The sequence below is a fragment of the Homo sapiens genome, chromosome 20, assembly GCF_000001405.40.
Source record: "Homo sapiens chromosome 20, GRCh38.p14 Primary Assembly".
Lineage (NCBI taxonomy): Eukaryota > Metazoa > Chordata > Mammalia > Primates > Hominidae > Homo > Homo sapiens.
The window spans coordinates 60,134,609-60,147,477 of NC_000020.11; the positions used below are offsets into that span (position 1 = coordinate 60,134,609).

Genomic DNA, 12,869 nt, shown 5'->3' on the forward strand with positions numbered 1-12,869 from the left:
TCAAGCTGGTCTCAAACTCCTGAGCTCAGGCAATCTGCCCACTTTGGCCTCCCAAAGTGCTAGGATTACAGGCATGAGCCACCGTGCCCGGCCACAAGTCAGTTTCTTATAGTAAATCTCCCCACACCCATATGTGTGTGTGTGTGTGTGTGTGTGTGTGTGTGTATATATATATATATACACACACACACATATATGATATATATATACACACATATATAATATATATACATATATAATATATATATACACATATAATATACACATATATAATATATATACACATATATAATATATATATACACACACATATATATAAGATATATATAATATCTCCTATTGGTTCCGTTTCCCTGGAGAACCCTGACTAAACCACCTTCCTAGAGAATCTAGAAAGTAGACTTTGCAGGAACATTTTCTCCCTTTTGCTAGTTGTTTTGTCTTGTGTGAACCTGAAAGAGCCCATTCTCCGAAACAGCTCTTAAGCATCTAACTGGGCCTAGTTTCCAAATAGAGCCAAGCAGCCATTTGCTGACTAGAGGTCACACACATACTCTGTGTTCCAGGAAAGCACACACCCTTGCCATGTAACTTAGGGACATTCAAGGCTGTTTTTTCCTGTTCATGCCACCTGAATCAGTAGCTGTGGGAAAACCTTATTTTCCTCCTGGACCTGAGCAATAGACTGTGACAGCATCGGCCAATCAGAACTGAGCAGTTTACATCCCACAATTGCATAAGTGGCCCAGAGTGGGAGGCTGGGTAAGAGCTTTCTCTATCAAAGACAACCACTCTCTTGGTTCTCTCCGGGCCCACCTTTGTTTTGTACTGAAGGCTGCATCTCCCCAGTTTGCAAACTGCTTGTGCAAATAGAGTCTCTGTTAACCTAATGCTTCTTTCTCAGGTGTTTGGTTAACACTTGTACATGGTAGGCATTCTGTCTATATTTGTTGGGCAGATGTGTGCGTCGAAGTGGTTAAACTTTCCCAGCCAGAGTGGGCATCTCCTCTGGGGTAAGGAGTTGGTGACATGCAGGTACCTGAGGCCCTGCCATGGGTGCATGGGCTGTGATTGTCCATAGACCACGTTAACTTAAACTTCTGGTCTAACACATAGAGTGGGCATCTTCCTAGGAAACCCTGGAAAAGCAGCAGATAGGACTGGCTCTCAGCAGTGACGAAAAGCAATAAGAGGACAAAATGTGGTACTTTACACAATGGAGTACTATTCAGCCATAAAAAAGAATAAGAACCTGTCATTTGCAACAACAGGGATGGAATTGGAGGTCATCATCTTAAGTGAAATAAACCAGGCACAGAAAGACAAACATCACATGTTCTCACTTATTTGTGGGATCCAAAAATCCAAACAATTGAACTCATGGAGATAGAGGGTAGAAGGATGGATACTAGAGGCTGGGAAGTGTTGCGGGGGTGAGGAGGACGGACATGGGGATGAATAAGACCTAGTGTTTGATAGTACAATAGGGTGAGTAGAGTCAACGATAATTTAATTGTACATTTAAAAATAGCTAAGAATATAATTGGATTGTTTGTAACACAAAGGACAAATGCTTGAGGAGATGGATACTCCATTTTCCATAGTGTGATTATGGTGCATTGCATGCCTGTATCAAAACATCTCATGTTCCCCATAAATATATACACCTACTGTGTACCCATAAAAATGTAAAAAAATGATTAAAAGTCTAGATATAATTTAAAAGAGGAAACTGTCTTTGTGTGGAGGCCAGCTGAAGACAGATACTGCATCAGGCACTTGGCAGCCTGGTTTCCAGTAGCTTCTCAACCCAGTGGAGTAGACTCTATGGCCCCATTTTGCAGATGAAGAATGGAGGTGCAGAGAAATCACAGCTCTAGCTTTGTCAGGAGGACCATAGAGGTCCAGGGGCTGGAGGTCTGAATATTTAATAGAGGGATTTGAATAACCATGGAAGTTAGCCTGGAGAGAGATTTAGGAGGCAGATAAGCCTAGTGTTCACTGTGGGGGCAGATGCCTTCCCCATCTGTGCAGACGATTGGCCCAAGTGGCCATGATGACATGGCTCCTACCTACTTCCTAATGGACCTCAGAGAATTAAACAGCGAGGACAACAGCGAGTGTTGTCTCTCAGACCCTTGGCTTTTTCAGGACTGCCTGACCTTTCTTTGTCCTTATTTGGCTTCAAGTCAAGTCAGCTCAACCCTGATTGAGCACCGGCAATGAGTCATGTCTGTGAAGGCGACACAGCCCCTGTCCTTGAGGAGCTTCGAGTCCAGTGACTGTCACTTCAGTGGAAGTTGGGCTGGACACAGTCACATGTGTATGCCAGACATGAGGCTTTGTTCTCATTACAATAATTGCCCTGCATTATTCTAGCAATTAAGCTTCTCCACGTGTGTGGATGCATGTTCCCAATTTTTTCTGGCCTCTACCGAACACAATGTTAATATTTGAGAGCAGTCCTAAAAAATTAAATAATTATACAAACTGAATTAGGATAGCATAATATTACCAATCAGAGTAATGTGGCTTTGTAATCCAGTGTGATGTCATATGAATCTACAAATTAGGAAGCATGTCAGAGGAGGAAACCACATCCTTTATTGCTTTGCCTTAAATAGCTTAAAACTAATCTTTTCCATGAGCCAACAGCTATCTCTCATGTTTAATAATGCTCCTCCCTGCCCAGATGAAGCTAACTAAATGATGTTGCCCCCTGCACCTGCAAATGCCTGGTGCCAGGGCAGGGACACAGGGAATGGCAGAAGGGGAGACCAGATGTTGGCTGAGGCATTGATTTATGGGCATGACCTTCCATGTGCCCCGAGGATGGCTGAGACCAGGGTTTGATGAATGCAGTGCTCTGTGTGAGAAGTTCTAAGGTGACAAGCAAAGATTCTATCCTCTGGAGGGGCAAGCCCTATTATTAGGTTGGTGCAAAAGTAATCGCAGTTTATGCAGTTGTAATGGCAAAAACAGAAATTACTTTTGCACCAACCTAATACCAGACAGAGGAGGTGCAAGTGCATGCCACCAGGGCAGGTGCAGGTGATGGGGGCAGAGAAAACTCAGATGTCTCCAATCTGTGCAGAGTAGGGAAACAGAAAAAGCTAAGTGAGGAAAGTGAGATTGCTATCACACAGATGCATGTCTTAGGTTTTCTGATTCCATTCCTCATGAATTTCATTAAGTAATCAAAGTGCTAAGCATGAAATGTGGGTATGCTGTCACCAGGTGGCAGCAGCATCCACTCTCCAAAATGCATTTTGTTCAAACCTAGTATGTGCTGGGTATTCTGAGCACATAGCAGAGACTAAGGCAAAGAGTCCCTGGCACTGTGGAGCTTAGAGGCTAATGAGGTGGCAGGTGCTTACACTTTAGAAACCGTTGTGAGGAATAGCTAGTGGTAGTTAAATGATACAGTGATAGTTAACAGAGAGGAAAGCTTTTCTCTCACTCCAAGCTATATTTTTATTATCACTATTAATATAAATAGAAAATAAATATTAAAATAGTTATTAAATAAGCAAAAGATAATGTTGCATTTAGTTATACGATTAAGTAGAGGTTTTCAAATATTTTTTAGCTTTGTGCAACCGAAATTATATGAGGAAGCAAAAACCACAAATACAGAAAATAAGAACTTTTCTGTTTGAACAGAAACGAGGACACTGGGGAGGCCCTTCCAATGCAGGCCAGACTTTTAGGGGCTCGACAGAACACAGCTGGAGAAACATCCACACCACACGCGGTTTCACCTGCCACACGGCAGCCCGGGTGCCCGGATCACTGTGTGTGGAGACTCAGGCTCACCGGCAAACCTCTTCCGGTTCCGGTCAGGGTGCTGCCTCCCTATCCACTGGGAGTCCTTTTGCGTTTCAGATGCTCCCAGGCTCTCCCGCAGTTTAAAGACTTAACTCAGCGGCTTTCAGGGCCTGTGGTTGAGGGACTCCGAAAGAACTGTTGCTGGTGGACCGGTTCAGGGTCTTGACTTCGCCACACAAAAGAACTTGAGAGCACGTCCAAAGTAAAGGTAAGCAAGGGAGTTGATCGCACAGCGAAAGCGCACTCTGCCAGCGGATCGGAGCGGCCGCTCAAAGGCGAGGCAGTGCTGGCCGACACTGGGGAAACCCCCTTTATGGGGGTCTTACATGATTATTCATGAAGGGCTGGGAAGGGGTGTTGCCGTGAAGCATGTTCTGGGCTGTCTCCTGGTGGCACATGTGCTGTGGTTGTGCATGCTAGTACACACATCGCATGTCTCGTTAGCATCGTAAATCTCCACCCAGTTCTTTAGTATTCTAATGAGCGCAGGTCAGCCCAAGGACACTCATCTTGGGTTTCTGCACTTGGATGAATTCGCGGATTTTTCCTTCGCTCTTTGACCTCCTCGCTAAAGGATGGTCTAACCACGAGCCTGGGATGCGGCTTGTGCACCGCAGGTGGCTTGTTCTCGCCATCTATTTAGCAAGTTTGCTCTCCTTTAAGTGAGGCTGTGACCACCCTCTCTGACCTACCTCAGAACCTGTTGCTTAGCTTCAGAAATCCAGCCTGGTGCTGGGCTGAGGTCAGCCTGAGGTCAAGCCATGCCCCTGAGACTTAACTGCCCTTGGATACCAATTTTCAGCAACAGAAAAGAATGAAAATAAAGTTCACATGAGGGCTAGTGCTGCTGGCAATGAGAAGGTCCTGTGACTACTTTTATTACCACTTCAACGATAAGGAGGTGACCTTTCATTCTCATTTCTCTCTCTCTAATATTTTGCATTCTCCAACTGTTATCTGTAAGAACATCTTAGCGCATTTGAAAAGCAGGGAAAATATGTAATAAAAACCACAACCAACCACACCATCTTAATGATAGCACTATTATTTTGTAATTCCTTCCAGTATCTTTGCCCAAGGTTTATTACTTGTTGAGTATTTGCAATTGTCCTCAGTAAAATTCTGAGACATGATTTTTAATTTAACATACCTTAAGATTTTTGTTTGCAGGTGGCTGAATTTCTTCAGAAAAATTATTTTAAGGGCTACTCAACACTGAGCAGTTAGTATTCATTCAGGTGGCCATTCTCTGATGCCTGTATTGCTTCCAGCTGTTGGGAAATGAACCCAGTGGAGAATATTGTTTTTCTTTTGCTAACAACAACATCCGTTAGGACAGATTTCCACATGTCTGATTGCTGGGCCGATGACACAAACATCGACAATAGCGCTTCACGCGTGTTGACTGATGATTTCCAAAAGCTTATCTTCCCAGTAGGCAGTTTGCCAGATGCTTCCAGAAATAGATGAGAATGCCAATTTCATCACACTGTTGCCAGCACTAGGTATGTCCACTACATTTTAATGCTAGTGTAATAGGCAAAGGGGACCTGCTGTCTGTTTCACCATTCATTTCTTTGCATGGTTGTCAGGTGGGACATTGCATTCTCCTGGAGAGGCCAGATCACTATGTCTCCCAGGAGGCCCTAGCAGAAGCTGCTCTGGTGTCCAGCTCCTGTGTGAAGCCTCCCTGGTCCCTGACTCTTGGAACAGACTTCTTTTCTGCCCTTTAAACACCCCTAACATCATGCGTGGTCCTTTGCTATGACACAGTTGTTCCCCATTCTGCATCGTCATGAGGCTGTCTACACCCTCTCTCTCTCCTGGGCAGGGCTCCGGCTCTGCAGGGGATGGGGACGTGTGTTACTCTGTTAGTCCCCTGCCTTGTCCAGCACAGCACTGTACATGCCACAGAGGCCCCACAGAGCTTGATCAAAAACTAACAATGATTAAACCAAAATTACGAATGGACAAAAAATTTCCATCAAGAAACCTCAACATTTTAATGTTCATGAGGGGGGAATGTAGGGTAAATGCACCTGATAGTAATAAGCATACCCTTAGAATGACCCTGTATGGCAGATGCGCCTAAATGTGTGTTCTGTGCTAGGGAATCCAGGAGTGGCCAACCCGGAGATTGATTCTGTGTCTATGATAAACATCTGAGCCCCTGGCCTGTTCTGTGGAACGTGGGCCGTTCACGGGATTGAGGCCCTGAGTTTGGGATTGGATGAAGGTTGCCAGGGCGAGGTTACCAGGAGGGTGTTAAGTGAAAATGGTATGTACATGACATGCTGTTCAGAAGAGGTTACAGTTTTCCTGCCCGGCCCGCCACCACTGGAGCATTTCTGTACATAAGGTGATTTCCCTGTTCAGCCCACCATCATTGAACACTCTCCCTGCACGTAAGCCCCTAATAAAACCCCATGGCTTGGTTGCTAGCTCTGGGTCTCTTCGGCCTTCCTATTGAGCTTAATAGGGGTTCAGCACAACCATGGAACAAAGAACAACAAAAAAATTGGTGATCTTAGCTCTAGTTTTCTTTCCTCCCTGAATCACTTATGAAGGGAGTCATGTGGCCTTTCAGCCTTATCTCATTTGAAAACAGAGGCTGTAGGATCAAATCTCAGTCCCCTTAGTCCTATATTTAGGAGTCAAACTCTGACTTCTTCATGGGGCTGTCATCAGATGGCAAAGCACACAGGGCAAGGTGGAGCAGGAAGCTGCTGGACGCTCTGCCTTCCTTATCGAAATAGTGAGGTTACATGGGGAGAGCTGTGGTCCTGATTCACTTGAGTGTTTTTTAGGGACCTACTATGTGCCAAGCATTGAGCTGCCTCTGATAGTGAAGGTAGAATGTGATCAATAATAGCTGTGTTTAACAACACTGTTGTCTGAGCTACTTATGATGTTAGAGCTTGATGTCAGGAAAGCCAGGTGATCAGAGTTGCCATTCAGTATTTGGCCTCACTAGTAATTTCTTCATTGTATAAAGCAGTGCTTCTCGTGCACTAGCAAGCATCAGCACACCTGGAAGACTCATTAAAACACAAATTTCTGGACCCACTCACTGAGTTCCTGCTTCAGTAGATCTGGGGTGAGAGCTGACAATTTGCATTTCTAACACATTTGCAGGTGATGTTGCTGGTCTGGGGAAACCACAATATGAGCGCCACTGCTGTCAATTGAAATAATAACAGTTCCCATATATAGGCGATTTACCTGTGCCAGGTGTTATGTGGACAGCTTTACTTGCTTTATGTCAATTCCAGAGAGACTTACAAAGGAACTATTGATAGCTTTAATTTCTGAGATGAGGTATCTGAGAGTAAAAGCTGTGAAAACCCTGTTGAAGCTGGCACAGTGAGTGGGATTGGGGCTGAGCCCCCGTCTCTCTGGCTCCAGTCACATTGCTATCCATGCTTGGTGCACCCACTGACTTACCAAGCCACTCTACCTCCTTGGGGACCCTTCTCCCCATTTACCAATAAGTCACCTTCAGATAACACTGGGCACCCCCCAGGCAGTGCAGATGCCACCTAACAGAACATTCCCAGTTCCTCCTTCAAATTCTTGGGATGTTGTTGCCTTCACCCCACTTCTCCATGTGCCATAATCACTCAATAAATTGTTCCTGTCATTTTAAATGTTTGCCTTTTAAATATCAATAATCTTGTTTCAAGATTTTCTCTTAGTCTTTGGGTTTTCTGCAGTTTGAACATAATATACCTAAGGGTATGTGATTGTGGCTTTTGTTTATTTGTTGCTTGTTTTGTATTTATCAGTTCTCTGGGTCTATCATTCATTTTGAAACGTTATTAGCCATTATTACTTTGAACACTCATGTGCTGTTCTCTCTTTTTCTGGTATTCTGATAATACATACATAAAGCCTTTTGATGTTGTTCCACAGTTCTTAAGGATTCTATTGTTTTTTGTTAAATATGTTTTTCTCTTTGCATTTCAGTTTGGGAAGTTTCTGTTGCCATATGCTCAAGCTCACTGATTCTTTCCTTGGCTCTGTCTGGGCTACTGAAGAGCCCATCAAAGGCATTCATCATTTCTTTTGCAGTGATTTGATTTTTTGTATTTCCTTTTGATTCTTTCCTAGTATTTTCATCACTCTGCTTATATTACTTATCTGTTGTTGCATGTTATCTAGTTTTTCACTGGAACCCTTAACATACTAACCACAGTATTTTAAATTATCTGGCTAATAATTCAGAGCAATAGGAACTGAGGTCAACAGGCCTTAGTGTGAGGATTTATGTTCATCTGGCTCAGAGTTGGGCTGTGTTCAATATTTGCTGTAGGTGCCAGAAGCCTCGCCTCTTGACCTTGAGTCCTGCTCTTCAGAGCCTCTGTCTGGAGCTGTTTCAACTGTAATTCACTGCTGTTATACTGAAGCCCTGTTGTTGAGGTGGTAAATTGTAGGGGAAGGGGAGTGTCCTATAATCATCAAATTAAATCTCAGTCTTTCAGTGGGGCTCTGTGTCTGGCCTGTGACTTCACAAGTGTTTCCCCCAGCCTTAGGTGAGACTGGAAGGCTGGAGGGAGCTGCAGTAGAAAATGCCCTTCCCCAGGCTGGAATGAGGCTGAGAAGTCTTTCCCTTGGAGAGTGGACCTTCCAGGGGAAGGAGAAGGTCTGGTGTCTTTCATAAGGAATACTCTTCCTTTCCCTGCCAAAGCTGGGAGCAGCTCTTTCCAGGATCTTCACCATCAGAACCTGAAGGGCTCCTGGAGATAAAATCCATAAAAGTGTGAGGTCTCCCCAAGGCTGCAGTGACCAGTCTTACATTGCCTTCTTCAGTCTCACACATTCAGTTCATAGGAATGTGTCAACTTGATCATCTAAGTGTTCCTACCAGTTTATGTCTACAGCGGCTTCTGCTCCAGAGAGGCAGAGTTCAGCTGTGATTCTCTGGACTCATCCAGAGATGGAGAGATTCCAGATTTCTGGGTAGTGACTTACCCTGTTATCAAAAGGCAAACTTAAAACAAACTTAAAGGTCTTAATGGGCTTTTATTTTCAATTTGTCAACACCTCATTCTATAGAGTCCGTGTTCTAATGAGCTGAGCATAGGAAGTTGGCTTCATGGGCAGAAAGGGGCTGAAGAAAGCAGAAACAGAAAGCAGATTGGGCACTTTGAAGATATTTTCCTTGTAGGACTAAAACAAAGAGAACTTTCTTATTATGCTGACTGGTCATTTTGAAGATATTTTCCTTATGGGACTAAAACAAAGGAAACTTTCTTATGCTGACTCAGGTTAACCAGAATCTCTCGTTTTTTAGGAAAACTGGTTCATTTCAAAGTTCAGTTTCATTAGGTAGCCCTCAGTACATTGACTCTGTTCTGGTCTGCCCAGGGCCTAGTGCAGGAGGCCAGTCCTAAACAATGGCCTCCCATGAGCTCTGTTTCACACTGTGAACTCAGTTCTCCAATAGGTTCAAGAAAGGTCATTGATTTTCAGTTTGTCCAACTTTTATTTGTTGGAAGGACTGGAGTGATGACTCTCAAGCTCTTTACATATAAACTTGAAACCTAAACTCTCTTCCTTATATGTAAAGGAAAAATGCCCCCTTTCATGAATATATCAACGTATGTCATCTGTCAACTCTTTGACATAATTTACACACTCAGATAAGCCCAATTTTTAGCATTTTCTAATTGAACAAGAGACTTATGGTTTTTTCCCAGGAAATGTTGTGTCCACTCTCCATTCCCTTGTAGGAGATTTTTGTCGGGAAACAGGAGCCCAGGAGAGCCCAGGTGACACCATTTTAGAATTAATGCCATCTTAAAACCAGCAAGGCGCATTCCTTGCCAATCACAACCCATGGTCATAAGATGTTTATGGCTAAGGAAGCAGTTTACAATGACTGCAAGGACAAACTCCTATGACAACAAAATGTCCAGATGCCCCAATGTACATAAAAATATATGCCTTCAAGATACTTCTTATTATGCTTTGATGTACATATGCACTAAAATGCCAAATACAGTTTTCTTTAAATCAGCAGAATAATAAATTTTGTCACGCTGTCAGCCCGTCTGCACATAGTCATAGCTTAGCTTAGCTTTTGCATAGATAAGACCGCTATGGAAGAAAAACTTAAAACAAGGATGATGTGTTCCTTCTCTCACTTTCTGAGGATCCCCACTCTGTAATTGGAGTAGCTTTCAATAAATGATCTCATTTTATTGTATTCTGTGACTCACCTTGAATTCCTTCCTGCACAAGATCCAAGAACCCTCCCTTGGGGTCTGGATTGGGACTCCTTTTTCCAGTAACAAGATAATAAATGAGAGATGGAATTAATTCAAAATAGCACTTGTTGGAGTAACATTAAGGGGTAAAGATCATAGGAAGTTGGGAGAATTACTTCTTGTTTGGTCCAATATTTGAAACACTGTCATCAAATGAGCCCCGGATATTTTCATATTATTTAAATGACTGACTTCTAGCCCCTAGATTTTATCTTCCCAGGAATGTATAAGTAACTTTAACAACATGCTGTATTAAAACACATTGACACAATTATATTACAAAATGAGTGCATTTTTTTTCAATATATTGGAATTAAAATACACAATCAAAGTAATAAGAATTTTTCCCACTCCTCCTTCCCCTCCTGGCAACCTCACCTCCAGGATTTGTAACAGAGCCTCTGCCCCCAGCAGGCCTTTCCTCACCAGTGCTTGCAAACTGCAAATTATATGCAAGTTGTTAAAACAGTGCCTGGAGGCCTTTATCAGCCTGCTAAGGCTTATACATGTTTTGTTTGGTAGAGAGGAATAAAGCAATTAAAATCGGATGCATTCTGTTTATATGTGCAATTTAACTAACATCACCAGTGCCTCTCGATGTCTCGAGGTGCTCTCTGATACCAAGAACACAGAGGGATCTTTTCTGAACTTCTCGCAGGAAGTGGGTGAGGCCTCATGGGGTTTGGGAAGTGTCTCTTCCTTTCTCCAGAATCGTATGCTTTGTGGGCAGAGATCTTCAATGGATTTATCTAAACAACTGTGTGCAGTGGGAAGTCAAAGACCATGGATTTCAGGGAATTAAAAAGCTGAGGGTTTCAGGAAGAAAAAGAAGGCAATTTGAGGCATTTGGACTTAATGAAACTTACTCAGATGGTGACAGCAGCATTTTCTTGGATGCACAATTGGCCACTGGGGATGCTCATACAGCATTTTTTTTTTAAGGACTTGGTGGCTTCCCAGACAGGAAGAATTTGTTTTGACTAATTGTGTTCTCTAATGAACCCCTAAACACACTTCCTCTGATAAGCCTGATGAAGTGCTTCACCTGGGAAAAGTCTTGGTGCTGATTTTCTCCACCTGGCTCTCTGGGCTGCACTTGAAGCTAGCCTGGCTCCACGCTTGCCAACTGATTCTCCATCCTCCTCCACACCCAAATGACTTGTTTCATGATGGCCAAGCGATTAAGACAATGATCCAGATAGGGCAGGCATAGAAAGCCATACACATGTATCTTTGAAACCTTTGATGGTTGTACTTTGGCAAGGAATAAATTATTTGTATTACTATTGGATTTTCCATTCTTTTATTCCATTGCTTCACTGATCCATTTGGATGTCACACAAGCCTCAAATTTAACAAATGTGAAATAGAATGCTTAATGCTAATCTCTACAACTTATTTCTCCCCCTGTTCACCTACTGTTCCTCTTTCTGCAGTGGGCTTTCCCCAGAGTTTCAGATGGCAGGTTCCCTCTCATTCTTCGGGTCTCACCATAAGTGTCACCATCCTAGAGAGTCTTTTCTTGACCACTTGTTACGGAATGAATTGTGTCTCTACTCCCCATCCCTCCACCACCCCTGCAATTCATGTGCTGAAGCTCTAATCCCCCTATGTTACAGCATCTGGAGATGGGGCTTTTAGGAGGTCATTAAGTGTCAGGCCTCTGAGCCCAAGCTAAGCCATCATATCCCCTGTGACCTGCACGTATACATCCAGATGGCCTGAAGTAACTGAAGAATCACAAAAGAAGTGAAAATGGCCTGTTCCTGCCTTAACTGATGACATTACCTTGTAAAATTCCTTCTCCTGGCTCATCCTGGCTCAAAAGCTCCCCGACTGAGCACCTTGTGATCCCCGCCCCTGCCTGCCAGAGAACATCCCCTTTGACTGTAATTTTCTTTTGCCTACCCAAATCCTATAAAACAGTCCTACCCTTTGCTGACTCTCTTTTTGAACTCAGTCCGCCTGCACCCAGGTGAAATAAACAGCCTTGTTGCTCGCACAAAGCCTGTTTGGTGGTCCCTTTACACGGACACGAGTGAAATTAAGGTTAAATGAGGTCATAAGAGAGGGGTCTATGAATTTGCAGACTTAATGGTGGAGCTCATGCACTCTCTCTTCCTCCAGGGACACGCACAGAGGGAAGGCTCTGTGGGGTTTTGACAAAAAAGAGTCAAACTCTGTAAAATATTTGAAGGGATTTATTCTGAGCCACAAATGAGTGACCAAGGCCTGAGGCATGGTCTCAAGAGGTCCAGAGAACATGTGCTCCAGGTGATTGGGTTATAGCTTGATCTCATACATTTTCAGGGGATAGAAATTATAGATAAAAACAGAAATGAATACGTGCAAGGTGTACATTGGTTTGGCCTGGAGAGGCAGGGGCTCCCAGGTCATAGGTGGATTTAAAGATTTCCTGATGGCAGTTTGTTGACAGGGTTAAGCTCTGCCTGAAGAGTTGAAGTCAGCAGAAAGAAATGCTAAGATAAGGAGGGTTGTGGAAGCCAAATTTCTTGTTATGTAGATGAAGCCTCTAGGTAGCGGGCCTCAGAAAATAGATATTAATAGTAAATGTCTTTTATCAGGTGCTAAAATGTGCCAGACTCTTAGTTAAATCTCTCCTGGGTAGGAAACTACCTGGAAAGGGAAGGGGATTCTCTATGGAATGTAGATTTTCCCCATGAGAGACAGCTTTGCAGGACCATTTCAAAATATGTCAATGAAATATGTTCTGGGGGAAAATACTTTGATTTCTTTCAGGGCCTGCTATCT

The 12,869-nt window shown here is 43.4% G+C and overlaps 1 long non-coding RNA gene across 1 annotated transcript in view; it reads left to right on the top strand.

Moving 5' to 3' along the window:
- The first annotated feature begins 3,883 nt into the window (after positions 1 to 3,883).
- The window catches only part of MIR646HG (MIR646 host gene), a 183,765-nt gene continuing 174,779 nt past the window's right edge, over positions 3,884 to 12,869 (top strand). Inside the window, exon 1 of the long non-coding RNA NR_046099.1 lies at positions 3,884 to 4,036. This is a non-coding gene — a long non-coding RNA (MIR646 host gene). The remainder of the gene's footprint in view (positions 4,037 to 12,869) is intronic.